The sequence below is a fragment of the Homo sapiens genome, chromosome 2, assembly GCF_000001405.40.
Source record: "Homo sapiens chromosome 2, GRCh38.p14 Primary Assembly".
Classification (NCBI taxonomy): domain Eukaryota; kingdom Metazoa; phylum Chordata; class Mammalia; order Primates; family Hominidae; genus Homo; species Homo sapiens.
The window spans coordinates 38,045,726-38,067,241 of NC_000002.12; the positions used below are offsets into that span (position 1 = coordinate 38,045,726).

Genomic DNA, 21,516 nt, shown 5'->3' on the forward strand with positions numbered 1-21,516 from the left:
GCTCCCAGCTCTCCCCGCCCTTCTCCCCCAGCTTAGTTGGTATGAGAGTTCTACCAAGGTGGGCAAGCAATAAAAGCTAGTGGCTTCACAATTGATGCTGCAGACTTGATTTGGAACAAAGCATGGCAAAGCATGTTTATGGCCAACAAGTGTTGCCGTAAATTGTGACCTTGGTGGAAAACAAACATGAAGGCCAACATTGCAACTAGCCCGAGGTTGTGATCTTGGTTCAGGCAAGCAACAGAAAGACAGACTACCCAGAAATTTATCAGGATGACTCAGGGAATGAGGTCGCCATTGTAGGTTCTCATATATTCCTGGTAGTCTGGAAAACTGCACACATACCCAAGGCTACGCATCCACTCAGACCAGAGATGGCCCTAGCTATTCACATATCCCTGACTGAATATGAAGTTTTCCACATGCACAGAGAAGACACATAAGAACTTTCAAGACAGTAAAAGTCTGGGGCAGACTTGTAAACTGTCTGACCTTTGAGTACATATCCCAACTCACTCAAAGATTCATTACCAAAGGATATAACCCTTACTGCCTGCAAGTATTTGAGCATAATCTCTAACCCATCATCAGCTGACTGCTAAACTATGCTGTTCCAGGGAAACCCCAAAGAAACCATGCTTTAAAATAAGAACAATAATAATAATATTTTTTAAAAACTGAGTGGAGATAGCAGCAGCAGAGAAAAAAAAGCAGAAAAATATCTGATGAAATAATGACTAGAAATGTCCAAAATTTGATGAAAAACATTAGATATCTATGAGGCTCAAAGAATTTAAAAAAAGATAAACAAAGAAATCCACATCTAAGAGACCCACATGCTAAGCACATCATAGTCAAATTGTTAAAAACTGACAACAAAGGAAAAAATCTTAAAAGCAACAAGAGAAAAAAAGACTTCTTATATTCAGAAGAAAAATAATTAATAGCTAACTTCTCATTAAAAAAATAAGAATCCAGGCCCGGTGCGGTGGCTCACGCCTATAATCCCAGCACTTTGGGAGGCCGAGCTGGGTGGATCACAAGGTCAGGAGATAGAGACCAGCCTGGCCAATATGGTGAAACCCCGTCTCTACGAAAAATACAAAAATTAGCCAGGCCTAGTGGCGGGTGCCTGTAGTCTCAGCTACTCGGGAGGCAGAGGCAGAAGAATCGCTTGAACCCAGGAGGCGGAGGTTGCAGAGAGCCGAGATTGCGCCACTGCACTCCAGCCTGGGCGACAGAGTGAGATTCTGTCTTGAAAAAAAACAAAAAAGAGCCCAGAAGATCAGAAGAAAATGGGAAGAAATACTCAATATTATGAAAGGAAACAACTGTCATTTGAGAATTCTATATCCAACAAAGCTGTCCTTCAAAAATGAAGACAAAATAAAAGACATTTTCAGATAAACAAAGACAGAGAGAATTAATTGCTAGCTGAGTTTCCTCAGAAGAAATACTATGTTTTTAGACTAAAAGGAAACGACATCATATGGTAACTTAAATACACATGAAGAAATAAATAATACTTGAAAAGGTAAATACGTAAGTAAAAATAATTCTCTATAAATATGTTCGTATAAAGATTTGTATGTGAATATTCAAAGCAGCAATATCTATAATGACCAAACAGTAGAAATAATACAAATGTCAATCAATTAGTGACATTAAAAAAGTAGTATATCCATATAATGGAATATCATTCAACAACAACAAAAAATGTACTACTGATACATGCTACAAAGTAGATGACTCTTCCTAACATTATGCTAAGTGAAAGAAGCTGGATGCAAAACAAACAAACACAAAACACATATATGAGTTTTTTGATTTATGAACATGAGATGTCTTTCTTACCACTTAGGCCTTCTGTGATTTCTTTAAACAATTTTTTGTTGTGGTTTCCAGAGTATAAGTTTGCACTTACTTTGTTAAATGTATTCCTAAATATTGCATTCTTTTCTATGTAAATGGAAAAAAAGTTTGACTTTCTATATTTTAAACTTTAAAATAAAAAAACCTCTCCCATGACGGTTAACTGTCTGCATCTCATGGCAAATCATTGAGTTCCTGAAGTGAAGTCTTTATGGCAGATATGTGTGGCTCTTCTTTCTCTTTTATCATCCCAATCTCATTCATTTCTTCTATTTCCTTCTATGTCTTCATTCCACTCCTTCCTTATATTGTTCACTGCACTTGTGGGAGACAAAAATTTTGTCTGATATTTCTTACCTAAAATACTCTGATCACTCTGACTTTAATCAGAAAACTCACTGAAATGAAGGATTGAGGTTAGCCAGATGTGCTGATTACCTGAGATGTAACACAACTTCCTTTCATTGAAATCAAAGTTTCAGATCTATCATTCTAAACTTCATTTCTCCTTCTTTGGCAAGTATGTTTGTGTGAAATCAGTTGCTGAGATATATAGGAGGCAGTAAAATTGGCTTTGCTGCAGTCCTCCCTGTCTGGGACTTCTGTATGTGCTACATTTTCTTACACTCCTTCTTCCTAAAGGTAGAGTGAAATGATTGGGTCCATTTCCATTTGAGTGTATGCAGCATGTGCTAAAACATAAATCAATAACAGGCCTGGGATATGGGCCCCAGAAGAACACCGGCCTTTACTGAAGTGGCTATTTCTTGGGCAGGACTTTACAAATTTATCCTTGTCCCCATTCCCTGACTCCTCTGGAGAAAGGAAAACAGCCTCCAGGGACTTCAGGAAGCTTTCAGGATTACCTGTGGCTTCATGCTCCAGAGAGGGGCACAGGAGAGCTATTGTGTCCTAGAAATTACCTGGCATGTGAGCTGGCCCGGCCCTTCTCCTGTACAGCAGGCCCAGAACTGATCTGTGAAAGTGTGGATCTAGACTACCTCTGTAAACAGAAACCTGAAGACTCAGAGTTGGAGTCAACACATCTGGAAAATGACCTCCGACAAACAACAGAACCACCAGGTAGTCAGGGATCCTTCCCAGTGAAATCTGCTACCTTTGGGACTGATCTGCAGAAGAAGCAAGTCATGGAAACATCTGGACTGCACCATCCCACATGGACGATAGAGAAGGGGTGGAGATTATTAGCACTGTCGCAACTTAGAGGCAGGGAGAACTACAAATCTATGAGTTGGCAAACCTGAGTTCCATGTGCAGTTGCACAAAAGATTTTAAATATGGCTTTAATTGATTGACTAACTCATTATGATCATTCCACAAACAGGTATTGAGTACCTGCTTACTGTTAGACATGGTATTTGGTGATAGGGCCATAAGATAAATTAAACTTAGCCAATGCTGTTTAGGAGCCTGCTTGTTGACATTTTAAATCATTCTGTTTATTTTCTAGTCTGTAGAATATGGAAAATATAATCCCATTTGTTTCCCAGGAAGCTGGCTATCAAATGAGTCTAGTTCCCTCATAGTTTGAGGGATTGTTTCTTATTACACGGTCGCCTAGGATGGAGCAAGTCAGACCTGGAAAGTCTACCTCATTAGGAGCCTTCCTCCTCCATGGGGCAGAAAGAAAAGGGAGTAGAAGGAAGGAAGGGAAGTTGGGAGGGAAAGTTAGGACCATCAGTCAGAGAAGCAGCATGATCAGCAAAGCTCTCACAGTGGACTGGACCATCCCAGGTCAAATGGACATCTAGAGGCCCTGTCCTGTGTCCTCGGAGATGGCACCCCAGACTTCTCCCAGACCTTCAAATCCCTGCTAAGAGTGGAATGTGAAGGCTGTGGAAGTGATTATTTAATTCTGTGTTTTATTACCATTTTTTACACATTTCTCTCAAACACTAGATTTTCATATCCTCAGTCACAGACCATGGTTCCATGGTTTATACATCATTTTGAAATTTTTTATTGCATTTTAGAGCCAAGGTCTCACTCTGTCATCCAGCCTGGAGTGCAGTGGTATAATCATAGCTTACTGCAGCCTCAAACTCATGGGCTCAAGCAATCCTCCTGTTTCAGCTTCTCAAGTAGCTAGGACTATAGGCACATGCCACCATGCCCAGCTAATTTTTTATTTTGTAGAGATGGGGTCTTGGTATGTTGCCAGACTGGTCTCGAACTCCTGGTCTCAAGTGATCCTCCCACATCAGCCTCCCAAAATGGTAGGATTACAGGTGATGACAAGATTATTGATGGTTTGTACATTTTTTATCATCTTGCTTCCCCAGCCCTGTGCCTAATACTGTCAGTAATTATTATTGTTACGGCTAATTATTGCTGCATGCTTACTTTATTGTAAGTACTGTGCTTAAGCTAATAGCATGTGTTATTAACTTGAATATTTGCAACAATCAATGAATTTGGGACCTTATTTATCTCCATTTTACACATGAGGAAACAGCCACTTGAAGAGGTTCACTTGCACAAATTCCCACATTTCTACAAACTGGCAGAGAGGATTTGAACCCAAGATTTAAAGAAAAGTTTTAAGCCTACATAAAATGAACTCTGTGAGACCTCGCACCATGGCCCCACATGATGTGCCTCCACTCCTCTCATGCCTCCTCAGGGACTTCACTTCTACAACCAACTTTTATTTACCCTGCCTCATCCTTTTCTGTCTCCCTGCTGCACCAATCTCACCAGTGTACACACATGCCTAAGTATCCCCTATTAAAAAAAAAAATAAAAAAAAAACCTTCCCTGACCATATATCCCCACATACAGCCCCAATTTCTCTGATTCTCCTTTTGTGTTCCTGAAAAAGCAAACAATGTCACTAGCCCATCATATTTTTTCAGGTCCCAGACATTTTTGCAGAGCCTTAAAAAGCCCGTAGGGACTATGTGCTTGCTGCCAGACTGGGATGCAATATAGTTTTAGTTGGTCAGAAAAGCTGACCTAGATATCCTACCATGGTTCAGTTTCCAATAGAGCTCCTAAGACAGAAAAGGATGAGGCAGGGCAAATAAAAGTTGGTTGAGAGAAGACACAATTCTGCACGAACTTCCACATATGTTAATGTAAGAACAAAGAACAATCTCATTACATGGTGGTTGTTTTTTGTTCATTTGTTTTAGTTTGTTGTTGTTGTTGTTTTTTCTGAGACAGAGGCTCGCTCTGTCGCACAGGCTGGAGTGCGGTGGCACGATCTCAGCTCACTGCAGCCTCCGCCTCCGGAGTTCAAGCAGTTCTCTCACCTCAGCATCCCACGTGGTAGCTGGGATTACAGCTGTGCATTACTACGCCCGGCTAATTTTTTGTGTTTTTAGTAGAGACCAGGTTTCACCATATTGGCCAGGCTGGTCTCAAACTCCCAACCTCAGGTGATCCGCCCATCTCAGAGTTGTGAAGAAGGAAGAGCAAGCTGTAACATGGCCTAGTGGGGCTGGCTGTGCCCCGAGGAATGAGCCTCTTTAGGAAAGACATCACCAACACCAGTGACAAGGATTAAGCTAGACTTGAGGGCATGAAACCTCAATAAATCAGGCTTCATTAATCTGGAATTCATGCAATTAGACTGAGTCTGCCAACCCTTTCTTCGGAGTCATGCAAATTCACCGTAAAAACAAAATTGTAAAAGGAGTGTTTAAGAGAGGTAGTACATCCCTCATATTCAACTAGAATGTGTCTGGAGGCACTGGTGAATGGTGATAGAACTTTAAATTCCCTCTGTACAATGCAATCAGGTGGAAGGAAAAATTTTGAGTGACTGTTCTTTTTTTAGTTTTTTATCTATTCGTAGTATTTGTACATATTTATGGGGTACATGTGATATTCTGACACATATAAAATATGTAATGATCAAATTGGGGTATTTATGATATCCAATCACCTTTAACATTTGTCATTTCTTTGTGTTTGGAACATTTCAAATCTTCTAGCTATTTTGAAATATACAATATGTTATTAACTATACTCACCCTTCTGTTTTCAAATACTAGAACTTATTTCTTCTGTCTAGCTGTATGTTTGTACCCATTAACCAACCTCTCTTCATCCTCTCCCCCTACACATACCTTTCCCAATTTCATTCTACTCTCTCTCTCTACCTCTGTGAGATTAAAGTTTTTAGTTCCCACATATGAATGAAGACATGAGATATTTGTCTTTCTGTGCCTGACTGATTTCACTCAACATAATGACCTCCAGTTCCATCCATGTTACTGCAAATGACATGATTTTTTTTTTTATGGTTGAACAGTATTCCATTGGGTATATACCACACTTTTTAAATCCATTCGTCTGTTGATGGACATGCAGGTTGATTTCATGTCTTGGCTATTGTGAATAGTGCTGCAATAAACATGGTGCAGGTATCCCTTTGATATGCTGAGTTCCTATCATTTGGATAAATACCCAGTGGTGGGATTGCTGGATTGTATGCTAGTTCCATTTTTAGTTTTTTGAGAAATCTCTACACTGTTTTCCATAATGGCTGTACAAATTTACATTCCCACCAACAGTGTATAAGAATTCCTTTCTCTCTACATCCTCCCCAGCATCTGTTACTTTTGGTCTTTTTGATAATAGACATTGTAACTGTGGTAAGATGATATCTCATGGTGGTCTTATAATAATTTGCATTTCTCTGATGATTAGTGATGTTGAGAATGTTTTCATATACCTGTTGGCCATTTGTGTGTCTTCTTTCGAGAAATGTATATTCAGATCCTTTGCCCACTTTTTAGTGGGATTATTTGGTGGTTTTCTTTCTGTTTTGTTGAGTTCCTTGTATATTCTAGAAATTAGTCCCTTGTTGAATGAATAGTTTGCATATATTTTCCCTCATTCCACAGGTTGTCTCTTCATTCTGTTGATTGTTTCCTTTGCTGTACAGAAGGTTTTTGGTTTAATATAGTCCCATTTGTCCATTTTTGCTGTGTTGCTGGTGCTTTTGGAGTCTTAGCCATAAAATCTTTGCCTACACCAATGTCCTGGAGCAAGTAGTTTTATAGTCCCAGGACCTTCATATTCTTAATGATTCTCTATAGTCATGTATGAACTTGGCTAAGGATGCTTATCCTCAGACAACTTGTCTTTTTACTGCCATCACCAGCAATTGGTGTTTTTTTTCTGGGGCCATTATCCTCAAACTTACTTTTCTCTGTTCCCAAGGATTACAGGAACTCTGAAGTCAAGTAGAAAATGTTAATGCTACTTTGACATGAGGGGGTGGGCAATGCTGCACTCACTAGCTAATGGATTCACTCCCATACACTAACCTTGCTGTCCACAGGATTCAAATTTATGCCTCAGCAAAAATCACTGTGTGGAATGGATCCTCAGTCACTAATTCCATGACTGCCAACTTTACAGATGTCAAGGCTGCCAAATGTCAAGGCTCTGTTATAGTTCAAGGTAGCAGGTTTTAATCTCAGCTGCATCTTAATTCATTGTGAGATTAAAAGTAATATTTTTTTAAAATGTACCCACAGGTGCAAATAATTCCCATTAAAAATAAGTAAGAGTGAGGGTGGTTGACTAAAGATTATCCCTACAATAACATGATTTTCTTACTCAAATTATGATTTTTTTTGGAAGGAAAAAATAGTGCTGTCTAAATATAATTGCCAAAGACCCACAGCCTCACTTACCTAAGACCAAATATACAACAAGTGATCATTATGACGTTATCATTAGCAGTTGGGTATTTTCAGTATTATTGGTTAAAACTTCCTGAGAAGCTTTTGAGGTTTCGTGGGAATGTCAAACACACACACATTATCTACCATATGTGCCACAGCAGGAGAGAGCTTTAGAAATGCTGCTGAAGAAAGTGTATAAGCTATTTTCAAGGGCTCCAAGAAGTTCCAGTTATTTATCCACAGACACTTAAAATATTAAATTAAAAGTCTCATCTAGTCCACAAAACGGTTTGCAAAGAGCATGTTACTAAGGAAAAAATTTACCTGAATGAATTTTATTAATTCCAATAGTAACTCAATTTAACTGTAATAAAATGCATTTTAAAATTTAGATCCCAAATGGTTCATATAAACGTTTCTATGCTAAGTTGAATTAATTTTCACTATGTGAGCTATTTGATCTTATTCAGTGGTTCTCAAATCTGGCTGCATATTAGCATTTACTGGGGCACTCTGAAAAAAATACCAATGCCAGGATCCTACCCTAGAGATTCTGATTTAATTTGCCTGGGGAGCAAACTCACAAGCATTATTTTTTTCAAAGTTCCAGGTGACTCTAATGTGCAGCCAGCACTGAAAACCTCTCATTTTAAATAGTTATTTTGATAGACAGAGAGTTAGAGGAAGTAAACCTACCAAGAACGACTCATTGGTTGAATTTATTATTCAGATATTCTAGGAGTTTTATTGATTAATTTCCAGTTGACCACTTATCAGATTACTGTACTCACCTCATTCCTATGAACTATACTAGTAGATGCCCCACACTCTGAACACTAATGGCCAGTGGGCTAATCTTGACTTTGCCTGTGCACTTCTGCTTCCTCAAGTTGAATTCTGTTTATCTAGAATCATTTGGGTTTGTTTTATGCGTATTATTCCCAAAATTACATAATTTAATTTATTAAATAGTATTAAACTCATCAAGTAATACTGTGAAAATAAAGAGCTGCTGTACTGATGAACACAAAAAAGATGAATGCTTTGGAAAGACTCAGTAAAGTTGACATGCTAAAAGTATTTTACTGTTAGATTAGGCAACTATAAAACATTGGAGAAAATATTAGAACAATCTTAAAAATTCTACATTCAAACTGATCTGCAAGTATTTTTTAAATTTTTGCTCCACTTTAAATACACAGAAACTACACATCATAGGTGATGCATTATGGATATAGTTCACTTAAAAAATATACCCCAAATTCCAAAATGGAGATGCATGGTTAAAGAAAAGACTAGAGTCTTACATCACAAGATTAATAAATGAATGCATTTTCCTCCATGTTTATTGTCCCCTCCCGTGTGCTTTGTTGCTCCAGGGTTCAATTCTCTGTTTCTTTTGGGTCACTCTGTGGCTTGCAGCATGACCACCTACCCATTTATGAATTCTCTTCTCTCTTCTCTACCATCTTTCTTAAGGAACATTTCTGCCATGATTTGCCAGCCAGCTCCATGCAGTCAAACTACCCAGTGCACGACTCTGGACACCTCACTACTGGACCATCCCTCTTCAAGCCCACACTTAATATAGAATACAGCACAGGACATGCTCCATAGTAAGGGCTCTGCTCTCTCAAAAGGACGGGGGGACAAAGGGCTCCAAGTGTCCCACCAGGAAATTATTTGGATATCATGTTATATTTGTAAAACTAATAAAACACATTCAGAAAGTTACCAGAAATGTCTTATGTACCATAAACCATATTTTTAGAACAGTATATTATCAGTTTTGTATTGCAAGCATTGCTTATTATATCTCTGAGATGTCTTTCAAATCCCACTCCTTCTCTATTTCCTCAGTGAGGCCAGGACCAGGTCTACTTTCCCTCTTGCCTAGATGATTTCATAGCCGTCCCCGCTTGATGATCCGCCTAGTTTCACTCCTTCCCTCTAAGCCATTGTCACATCTTGCAGTCAAAGTTGCCGTTCTAAAGCACTTGCCTGTTTTAATTCCTCCTGTGCAACCCACCCCAGGATCCTATGGGAAAAAAAAACAGACTCCTCAACCCAGCATGTAGCCTTTGCAGCCTGCCTCAACCTACCTCCCCAACCTCACCCTCACCCTATATACATAGCTGACCCATCTGTTAAAATGTCTTTGGCTCTTAGAACCAGAAATAGAAAATCCTTACTCAACTGTGTCCTATAAAGTAGGAAATTAGTTGTCTCACTTTGGAGGAAAATCAGAAGCGTAGGAAGCTCTAAGTTGGTTTACTTAATGGCTTGATGACCCCATCAAGGACAAGATCTTTGCATCTTTTCATACAGTCATTTTTGAAGTATCAGCTTGGTCCTCAGGTTAGCTCCCTTCATGACTACAAGATCACTGCAGGAGTCACATCCAGACACAATAGCATTCGACAGAGGAGGATGCACTGTCTCTTACTTGTGTGTGTGTCTTTTAAAGAACAAAGAAACCCTTCAAGCAGCCCTTCAATAGACCTTCCCCTTGCAACTCATCAGCTGGAATAGATTGCATGCCCCTGTCTATACCAATTACTGCAAGGGGAATAGGAATTTTATGATTGATTTAGGCTAGTCAGGATTTACTGTGAGTTGAGACAGAGTCATCTTCCCTGAAGACTGGATAACTGGAAAAAAATCAAGGTTCTGTTAACAAGTAGGGTGATGGATATTGGGTAGACATTAACAGTACCTGCCACACTCCCTCACCCTGACACACACACAAATACACACACACACTGCATGCAAACACATACGTGTGCTCCCCACCTCACCTGGATCATTGCCACCTCCAAGCACATCACATTCATTCAAACAGATATTTTATTACTGAGCACATAGGACGGGGCAGCACTGTGCCAGGCACCCGGGATCCAGTGGGGAGCAGGTCCTTTCATCACGGAGGGCGTTGTCCAGGATCCTCTCATCCTCCCTCCCTGATATTGTGTCTCTCTAGTCAACCCCTAAGCATCTAGGCCCAGCTCATAGGGCATCTCCTCTATGGAGCCTTTCCTAACCCTCATGTCCACACAGTCTCTAGGAGAATTACGTAGTTCTTAATCGTTGTTCCCAAAGCACTTCATACACCACTTACTACAACATCAATCACACTGTGTTGGGGCATGCCGGTGTGTCTCCTCAAACAGGAAATGAACACCTCTGCATCAGGGCATGTGTTTATTTTTATAACAGTTTTATCTTAGAATAGTATCTACTAGTGCTTAACAATGCTTAGAGACATAATAGATGCTGAATAAATGATGGCCTGGATGATCTGAATGTATATAAAACTATATTACACTTGATTTACTGTGCTCAGCATGTAAGAACATATAATAATTCTCCCAAACTTATTTCAGGGTGTCCCATGTGACTAGATAAGAGAATGAATTTTGTTTGATTAGGTGCATTCTTAGGCTATGTGTAAGAATTGTGAAATTATGACATACCCCTAAATGATATAAAATGATGGAGACCCAATTAGGAAGAAGAACTTAATTAAGCAAGGGTTTTAAGTCCTGAAATTATAAGCTTTTTTCAGTTTTGTTTTAGTTATGTTATTACACTGTGTGGGTCTGATTTTTTCCTTCCATTTAACTGCTGCATTCTCTAGTCTATGCTAAAATGCCTCCACTTGCAATATGGAATATTGCCTTTGTGAAAAATGCCTTTGACCTGTTTCTGCTTCCTAGTGCCTTATTTGGGGTCTTAGCTTTGTGGGTTCATGACTCTCTGTGAAGCAGCATCAACTGTCCAGGGCTCTAGCACAGTCCAGGGCCATTCAAAACAGAGGTGGAAATGATGTACATAGAAGTGATTTGTCAACCATAAAGTGCTTTAGAAACATGAAGAGGTTGTTACTATTACTAGTTGGTGCTGTGAGAAATAGATGGTGCAGACCAGGATTGGCAAACTTTTCCTGTAAGAGCCAGGTAGTAAATATTTCAGGCTTTGCAGGTGCCTTGTGGTCTTTGTTACAACTACCCAACTCTGCTGCTGTAGTACAAAAGCTGCCATAGGCATTACAGTCAAATGAGCATGGCTGTGCTCCAACATAACTTTATTTATGGATACTGAAATTTGAATTTCATAAAATGTTCATGTGTCATAAAATACTTTTCCTCTTTTGATTTCTTTCTACTATTTAAAAGTGTAAAAATAATGCATAGCTCACAAGCTATGGAAAATGGGTGGTGGACCAGATTTGGACCATGGGCCATAGTTTGCTGACCTCTGCTGTAAACCACAGGAGATTCATCTTACCAAGATGCTGGTAGCCAATGGAGCCTGATATAGAAACCACTTTATTTGATATGGTTTAGATCTATGTCCCCACTCAAATCTCATATTCAATAGTAATCCCCAGTGTTGGTGGTGGGGCATGGTAGGAGGTGATTGGATCAATGGGCAGAGTTCTCATGAATGGTTCAGTACCATCCCCCTTGGTACTGTATAGTGAGTGGATTCTCATGAGATCTGGTTGTTTAAAAGTATGTAGCACCTTCCCCCTCCCTCTTCCTTCTGATCCAGCCATGTAAGAAGTGCCTGTTTCCCCTTTGCCTTCTGCCACGATTGTCAGTTTCCTGAGGCCTCCCCAGAAGCAGAAGCTGCTGCTATACTTTCTGTACAGCCTGCAGAACCGTGAACCAATTAAACCTCTTTGCTTTATAAATTACCCAGTCTCAGGTATTTCTTCATAGGACTGTGAGAATAGACTAATACAGAGCCCATTGAGGCTATCTGAACAGTAGCAGAGTAACTACCCAGGAAAATGTCCGACTCATAATAGCAGCATTAGAAAGCCACCTTAACTCTTGGAAATTTAACCTTTTTTCTTTGGAAATAATTGTGCTCCTCACATGCCTTGTTCTTTTGACCTGAGTTTATTTTCTACTGGAGATGTTGACTTCTCTGCCTTTGGGAAAAACCCAGGTCAGTGTGAGTCAGCCCTGTGGGCTAGGGAAGGGGGTGAAGGAGCCCAGGGTGGAAAAATCTCAGGTATCTGAAAAATAGCATTCAATCTCTCATCATCCATTGACATAGCTCTTTAGGTCAAGCCTTCAAGCTTTGCCCTGCAGGAAGAAGCAGCATGAGGGGAAGACCCTCTTTGAACTTTAATTCCCAGCCTTGGAAGGGAAGGCTTGGAGAAGCAACGCCCCAGATTCTGTTAGCCCTCATCAGCTTTTCTCAGCTCTGCTCAGGCAGGGGACTTCAGGACCAGAAATTGTGTCTGCAGGTGTGGGGGCTGCTTGTCCCAAGGCAAAGGTGAAGGAGAAGCAAGAGCAGAACCCATAGAACATAAGGAACCATAGCTTTGAATTTCCTTGTTTGGAGTTAACTTTTCCACCAAAATATAACCTTATGTGGATCGTCTTCCTTACTTTTATCAAGGTGTTCGTTTTCTGTGTTTCAGAACTGAGGTTATGGGCAGTTTTCTGTTTCAGACCTACCTACTCTAAGAAGCTTTCTTTTATTTCCTATTGCGACCTGAGTTTATTTTCCACTGGAGATGTTGGCTCCTCTGCCTATGGGAAAAAGCCAGGTCATTGGAAAACGCAAATCTCTCCTTTCCTTGAAGCACATTATCTGAAACTACCTGAAAACTCTTGTGTATGTATCTTTATATTATATTTATGTTCACACTCACTTACTCGGAGGAGGGGCCCCTGAATCCTCCCTGAGTATTTCTCATGATTCTTATCATAGTGTTTTACCCAAAGTAGTAATAAATAGTTACCAATTGAATAAAAGTAAAACGTCCAATAAATTGAAATGGGTTCAATTATAGAAGCACTGTCCAATAGAACTTTCCGCTATGATGGAAGCGTTTTATATCTGTGCCTCTCACAACAGTAGCCACTATCCCCATGTGGCTTCCAAGCACCTGAAATAAGGCTGATGTGAATAAGGAATTGATTTTTTAATTTTTTTAATTTTAATTAATTTAAATTTAAATAGCCACATGTGACTAGTGGCTACTACATTGTACAGCACAGGTCAGTAGGACAATAAACAGCTGGCTTAACTAATTTCTTTTTGTGAGTAGATTATTTGGGCAGTGATCATACCATCAGAATTTAAAATATAATGCAAACCAGTGGTTGGATATTGTGTAGAAAATCCAGCAAGATGATTGGATATTCCACTTTCCAAGGAACATAAAAATGTCCACCCCTGTAGAGTTTATATCCTGGGAACTGGAGTGGGGACGGAGACAGACAGTAAATCATCATCAAAATGTAAAGGTTATTTTATGTTATATTAACAGGAAATAAATGTTTTATGTGTTGGGAGCGTAGGGAACAGAAAAAGTAGAGCAAGGTAGGCATGTCGAGGGAGCTTGTGGGGGCAGGCTAAGTATTAAATAATGTGGTCAGAGGAGGCTTCATTAGAGAGATGAGAGATGAACTCAAGCTAGACTGATGTAGGGACGTGGGCAAAGAAAATGAGAAAGGTGCTGACCTCTGCAGAGCCAAGGGCAGGTCTGTATGATGACCTAAACTCCCCTACACTCTGTTGCAAAGAAAATAAGCCCTGGCGGGGCACTGAAGAAGAAGGACAGGGTTTTGTGTGTGTGTGGTTTTTTGTTGTCGTTGGTTTTTTTTGTTTTTGTTTTTGTTTTTTTGTTTTTGAGACGGAGTCTCGCTCTGTCACCCAGGCTGGAGTGCAGTGACTCGATCTCGGCTCACTGCAACCTCCGCCTCTCAGGTTCAAATGATTTTCCTGCCTCAGCCTCCCGAGTAGCTGGGACTACAGGTGTGTGCCACGACGCCCAGCTATTTTATTTTATTTTATTTTATTTTATTTTATTTTATTTTATTTTATTTTATTTTATTTTTTTTAGTAGAGACAGGATTTCACTGTGTTACGCAGGATGGTCTCGATCTCCTGACCTCATGATCCGCCAGCCTTGGCCTCCCAAAGTGCTGGGATTACAGGCATGAGCCACCACACCCGACCATTTTGTTTTTTATTAACAAGGCCTTGATAGACGTTTCCAGAGCTATCTCTTGAAGTTAGAAATCAAAACAAGAGAGCAGGCAGGCTTGCCCATTTTTACAGCAATCATTCCTGGAAACCACATTGGAAAACACACAGTGAAAAGTTAACCTTATTCTTCCACCGCTTTGTCCAGCCTGTGTTTCCCCACTTTTTTCCTCAATATCAGTGCCAAGCTCTAGAATGCCAACTGGATTTGCTTGCGGGCTGTGGGAATTGCAGAATAAGAGTCTCAAATTTAAATACTGATTGCTGGGATGTGCAGTAAGAGAACAGAGGTGGCCCTTTGGCCTTCTGAATGTGAGCAGGGAGAGTGACAGGGGAGGTGCAGGAAAGACAAGCTCAGAGCATCCTGGGATTCACAAACATCCACCAGATCCAGTGGACACCAGCAGCTTTCAGTATTGTGGGTCTGGGAGCTGAGTGGTGCTCTCAAAGCTGATATGACCTGACTTGTGGGGTCCAATGGCCTAGATAATGGCCAAGGGCTGTGGGGTTAAACAATAAAGTTAGAGACAGCCAGGAAAGCATGCTGGGTACACAGCACAACACCAGGGGATGGGAGATCCCCCCAAACAGAACACGAGGCTGCCTGCTTTTCTCAGCAACCCCACTGGGATGAGGGTGGAAATCTTTTTCAATCAGATATAATAAAACTTTGACTCAAAGGCTAGACATAGTGTAGAAAATGTTCCAGGAGAAGTTCCATTAAGTGCTTAAAAGAATCAGTGTGGAGTCCTTTGGTGCACATAAAATTAAAGAATCATCAGGCCATTTTAAATTATATTTAAAGGCATTGTTGAAAAGTATGTTAGTTCCAAGAGCCTGTTTGTTCTCTGGTTATTCTTTAGGAACAAGTGAGTAGTCAGGGAAGCCTTCCTGAAGGAGGCAACACCAAGGAGTGGGCATTAAGGACAAGTGTCCTCTTACATCCTCCCCATGTGAAGGAAATGCAGGCACTGAGTTATCAGATTTGCTTCAGTGCTCCAAGGGGAAGATGATTGGAATGAGCTCAAGAGTCAATGGCAGGGAACGGTCTGGACCCACCAGTGCCATCGGCCAAGCCAGAAGCCAGTGCTGATTATGGGCCAATGTCATCTGCTGTGGAGTGCGCTGAGATTATTTTACTTCAGACTGCCCTGATTTTGTGACCATAAAAATCAATTTAATGAATTGCAACCCTCTTTTTTTTTTAAGGTAATTATACTATCTGGTAACTCAGTGCCTGTATTTTCTTCACATGGAGAGGATGTAAGAGGAAGCTTGTCCTTAATGCCCACCCCTTGGTGTTGCCTCCTTCAGGAAGGCTTCCCTGACTACTCATTCTAAACAGTGCCCCCTCACACACAGTACACACACACACACACACATACACACATATACCACTTATAATTAACTGAAATCTTATTTTCTCTCCTGCCACCCATCCCACTAGAATATCAGCTCCATGAGGTCAGGGCCTGGGTGCCTTGTTCATTATTATATCATCAGTGCCCCAAACAGTGTCTGCCTACTAATAGGTGCTCAATTAACACTTATGACATTGAATTAAAATTGCCTCGGCTGGGAGGTTCCAGCTGTTGCTCATCCCAAAGGCTGGTATTCTGCCTCCTGTTCTGCTCTGAGAATCTGGCACCACTTTACCTCTCCTGCAAGGACTTCAGCACAGGCCATGATCCTTGTTCACATCTCTAGGCCTGACCTTCTTTGTTCAGTGTTGCCATCTCGTTTCCTTGTCTGCCAGCAGCTGCCATGCTACCTGCCAATGTCAGTTCAGCTTCACTTAAGTTCATTTGCACCAATTCCCCTTTAACATTTTTTCCAATCACTTTTCATCACTTTTTGGTGTAGTTGTGTGAATTTTAACACATGTATACATCCATGTAACCACTGTCACAATCAGAAAACCTTCCAAAACTCCACCAGGCTATCCTTTTGTAGTACTCTCCCTCCCCTTTAACCCTCGACAACCACTGATCTACTCTTCATCATGACACTTTTGTCTCTCAGAGGCTGTCGTAGCAATGGAATTGTGCAGTGTGTAACCTTTTGAAGCTGACTTATTTTACTCAACATAATTCCCTTGAGATTCATTCAAGTTGTTGTGTGTATCAATGGTTCATTCTTTTTTATTACCGAGTAGTATTCCATTGGGTGGATGTAACAGATTTTGTATAACTAATTGCCCTTTGAAGGAAATTTAGGTTGTTTTCAGTATGAAGTCATGATGAATGCAGCTGCTGTAAACATTCATGTATAGCTTTTGTGTGAATGTGTTTTCATTTCTCTAGGATAAATACCCAGGAGTGGGGTCATACTGTAGCATTTTTTTTTAATTTTATTATTATTATACTTTAAGTTTTAGGGTACATGTGCACAATGTGCAGGTTTGTTACATATGTATACATGTACCATGTTGGTGTGCTGCACCCATTAACTTGTCATTTAGCATTAGGTATATCTCCAAATGCTATCCCTCCCCCCTTCCCCCCCCCCACAACAGTCCCCAGTGTGTGATGTTCCCCTTCCTGTGTGCATGTGTTCTCATTGTTCAATTCCCACCTATGAGTGAGAACATGCGGTGTTTGGTTTTTTGTCCCTGCCATAGTTTGCTGAGAATGATGGTTTACAGTTTCATCCATGTCCCTACAAAGGACATGAACTCATCATTTTTTATGGTTGCATAGTATTCCATGGTGTATATGTGCCATATTTTCTTAATCCAGTCTATCGTTGTTGGACATTTGGGTTGGTTCCAAGTCTTTGCTATTGTGAATAGTGCCACTATAAACATACATGTGCATGTGTCTTTATAGCAGCATGATTTATAATCCTTTGGGTATATACCCAGTAATGGGATTGCTGGGTCAAATGGTATTTCTAGTTCTAGATCCCTCAGGAATCGCCACACTGACTTCTACAACGGTTGAACTAGTTTACAGTCCCACCAACAGTGTAAAAGTGTTCCTATTTCTCCACATCCTCTCCAGCACCTGTTGTTTCCTGACTTTTTAATGATCGCCATTCTAACTGGTGTGAGATGGTATCTCATTGTGGTTTTGATTTGCATTTCTCTGATGGCCAGTGATGATGAGCATTTTTTCATGTGTTTTTAATTCAAGATGGATTGAAGACTTAAATGTTAGACCTAAAACCATAAAAACCCTAGAAGAAAACTTAGGCAATACCATTCAGGACATAGGCATGGGCAAGGACTTCATGTCTAAAACACCAAAAGTAATGGCAACAAAAGCCAAAATTGACAAATGGGATCTAATTAAACTAAAGAGCTTCTGCACAGCAAAAGAAACTACCATCAGAGTGAACAGGCAACCTACAGAATGGGAGAAAATTTTTGCAACCTACTCATCTGACAAAGGGCTAATATCCAGAATCTACAATGAACTCAAACAAATTTACAAGAAAAAAACAAACAACCCCATCAAAAAGTGGGCGAAGGATATGAACAGACACTTCTCATACTGTAGCGTTTTGCACTTTCCCAAGCAATGTATGAAAGTTCCAGTAGTTTCACATCCTCCCCAATACTTGGTATATGTTATCAGTTTTGTCATTTTTTTAAAAATTTAGCCACTATGATAGGTTTGTAGTAGTATTTCACTGTGCTGCATTTCTTATGAAAAAAATTTAAAAATATATTCCATCACAGAAAACAATAGTGAATCCTGTTTGTGTGTGTGTATGTGTGTGTGTGTATATATACATACATAAATATATATCTATGAAGTACACACAATCACATGTAGAGATATGTACTAAATCATGTAAAATATATTGCATACTGTGAGGCTATGGTTTAAAAAATTGGAAGCCATTGAGTTGGCATTTCTGCTTTCTTCATAGTGACTAAGCAGAAACCTAAAAACCTTGAATAAGCTCAATTTGTAAGCAAAGAGAAGAAACTGAGATTAGGGGCCGGGTGCATTGGTTCACACCTGTAATCCCAGTACTTTGGGAGTCCGAGGCGGGTAGATCAGGAGTTTGAGACTAGCCTAACCAACATGGTGAAACCTCGTGTCTACTAAAAATACAAAAATTAGCCAGACATGGTGGTGTATGCCTGTAGTCCCAGCTACTCGGGGGGCTGAGACAGGAGAATCACTTGAACCTGGGAGGCGGAGGTTGCAGTGAGCTGAGATCATACCATGGCACTCCAGCCTGGGTGACAGAGCGAGACTCCATCTCAAAAAAAAAAAGAAAGAAAGAAACAGGTTAGACTTCAAGAGTACCAATTGAAAACTGAGTCATGGAGAAGGTGAAGAGATCATCAGTGCTGAGAAGCAGGTGCGACAAAACTCACTCCCCTTTTTTCACCCTTGCTTCTGTATATACAATATGATTCCATAACAAAATTGTTGGGACTTAGTCCCTGCTTTTCAATGAATATACCATCGAATAGTGGAGATATGATGTAAACACAAATATGACTATGGGAAGTATTGAAAAATGAGGGTAGATGTCTTTTTCCTCGTTAAAAAAAAAAAATCTATGTAATGCATCTCTCTCCCAAGAGGATATATTTCATTTAAAAATAAAGAGGTCATGCCATGTGTTGGTGGGGAAGTGGGTACAGCTTCCCCTCATGCACAGCTGATGGGAGTGTGGACAGATTTGGCATTCTGGAGAACATGCAATATTTAAATTACATAACGCACTCACTTGCTGACCCAACACTTCTAATCATGCGTATGGCATGCATTACAAAGTTTACATAGGAGGGCAAGTAAACACATACCAAGCTGTTCCTCGCTGCATCATTTAGGGGCTCACAAAGTTGGAAGTTATCCAGGTATCTATTCCCAAGAGAGTGGATAGAAAAAATGTGGTGGATAAGTACCATGGAATACTAGGCAGCAGCTATAAGCTATGGAATTACACAGGGATGGAGCTGAGAAAAGATTAAGCAACAGGATGAGATATGTACAGCACTTACATAAAGTAAAACATATATATTCAAAACAATAATACAAATTTTGCTGGAACACGCAAACAAAAAGTGCATATTAAGCATATTGTAATACTTATCCATTGAGAGAGAGAGAAACAAATGTAAGGAAATAGGAATAAATTTTAAAAAAAAAAAGAAAAAGAAAGAGGCTGGCTGATTTTTCGGGCTTGCTCAATGACTCTTAGCTCTGACCCAAAGGGATCTCAGTGCTGTTAGGCTTCTACTGTATAACATTGTCTCACCTAAAGGGGCCTCAAATGATTCAAAACTAGTTCTGGTAGGTCCAGTCATTCTGTTTGCAAAGGCAAGCTTCCCATCAAAAAGCTTGTTTCGTGCCTTGGTTCTTCTCTCTCCCTCTGGCCAGTGCTCACGGGCTCTGAGAGACGGAAGGGTTCTGATGAGCCACATACACCAACACTTAGGTGATGCATGGCTATCAGATGGACAGGCCATGTCCCAGGAAACTGGACCAGCCTAAGGATGGCCCTGGCTCCAACAAGGAACCTTGGTCCAGACAGGTTCTAGGACAGAAGTTTTAGGATTATAAGACAAAGCATGACTGCTTGTTTGTTTGGCTTTTGGTTTTGCCTAAAGAACAGTTTAAAGGGGCTTTTCTCAGAAGAGAGCAGTGTGGTGAGGATTCCCGCACAATGTCAGTTACTGCCTGTCTGTAGTGTGGAATGTGCCTTAGACAAAGGAAGTAAATTGCTTGCGAAACTCCCAGGATCTTATGGCCTAAAAAAATAGACGGACTACCCTATAAATCCAAACACAGGCACACTGGGAAGGGACAAACTAGGGTACAAAGATAATGGGCTTTGAATTAGTTCATCTCCAGGGAAAATCTGGATGAGAATACTTCTAAATATATAATTTTGGCCCATTACTTTATCGCATCCCTCTGAAGACTGTTAGGCAATAATGCATTAGAGTTTAGCATAGTGATGCAAAAATTGTAAGTGCTCAACATATTTTAGTTCCATTTCTTCCCTCCATATCTGACACATGTTGAAAAGTGTGCATGAAGAGCACAGCATTTGTCCTCAAAGCCTGTATGTCGCTTAGCAGAGGTGCTACAAGCATGAGCTGTTACCCATAGCGTGTCCATACCTATGTAAACTAGATTATTTTCCTCCATAATTCCAAGTTAAAAAAATTGCTTTTAAATGTATTTGAATATATTTAATTTTTTTCTTCTTTCCTTTTCACTTTCTGAGATTTATAACTAATAGACTGAAACTGGAGAGCAGAGAGCATGTGAGAGTCACTGAGCCAAAAAACGGAGAGTTAACAGCCAGTGAACTTCTGTTGCACTGGTGCAGAAAAACAGACTGGCGTTGAGGTTGAAGAAACAACCTCTGTGAGTTTCTAACAACCACGCCTGTCTTACTTATGTCCAAAGCTGCATTCATTTCCCACCCTGTACTCCGGTCTTATACTCTGTTGGATTGATTGGGTAGAATCCAACTCTGCTAGACAGTTGTGCAAAAACTGGCCCCAATTATAATTATTTAAAGGAATATTTTTCCCATGAAAATATTTCCTTCACTTATTCTTAACTGTCCTGACATTTCCAAGATCCTACTGTCATACATCTGGAAAACTAGTGAGTATTCTCTTAAACCACTCCATAGCCATACCTTCTGGCTGCTAAAGTGAGGTTCCCACGCCAAAGTTTCAATGCCATTTTGTGCAATTTTTACTTCTTTTCCTGTTTTCACATTAATAGGAGCTGTAGTCTGGAAGATAAAGAGCCTTTGGTACCGCAAGCCCTGTCATCTGTGAGTGTGGCACAGTGAAGGCCTGGAGAGTCATGACCTAGGCCCTGTGAAGTCAAGTATTTTTACCAAGTAAAAAGATTGGCAATAAAACATTTCCACATAGTACATGACAGAATACTTGTACCCATCTTATTTTATTGGACATTAATTGCACTAATTGAGGCACATGTACCTTTAAAAAAATGAAAGAAGAAAATACTCAGAGAAA

The 21,516-nt window shown here is 40.2% G+C and overlaps 1 protein-coding gene across 7 annotated transcripts in view; it reads left to right on the plus strand.

Moving 5' to 3' along the window:
* Nucleotides 1-21,413, plus strand: part of RMDN2 (regulator of microtubule dynamics 2) — a 146,238-nt gene extending 124,825 nt beyond the window's left edge. For 5 of the 7 annotated variants that reach the window (XM_047443519.1, NM_001322212.2, XM_011532615.4 and 2 more), the window contains one exon: nt 21,257-21,413. In XM_047443519.1, the coding sequence (XP_047299475.1) occupies nt 21,257-21,265 (9 nt within the window). In that variant the 3' untranslated portion in view covers nt 21,266-21,413. Of the gene's footprint in view, nt 1-9,014; nt 9,270-21,256 lie in introns of those variants that run through there. The other 2 variants (XM_011532616.3, XM_011532614.4) reach the window with 1 other exon arrangement.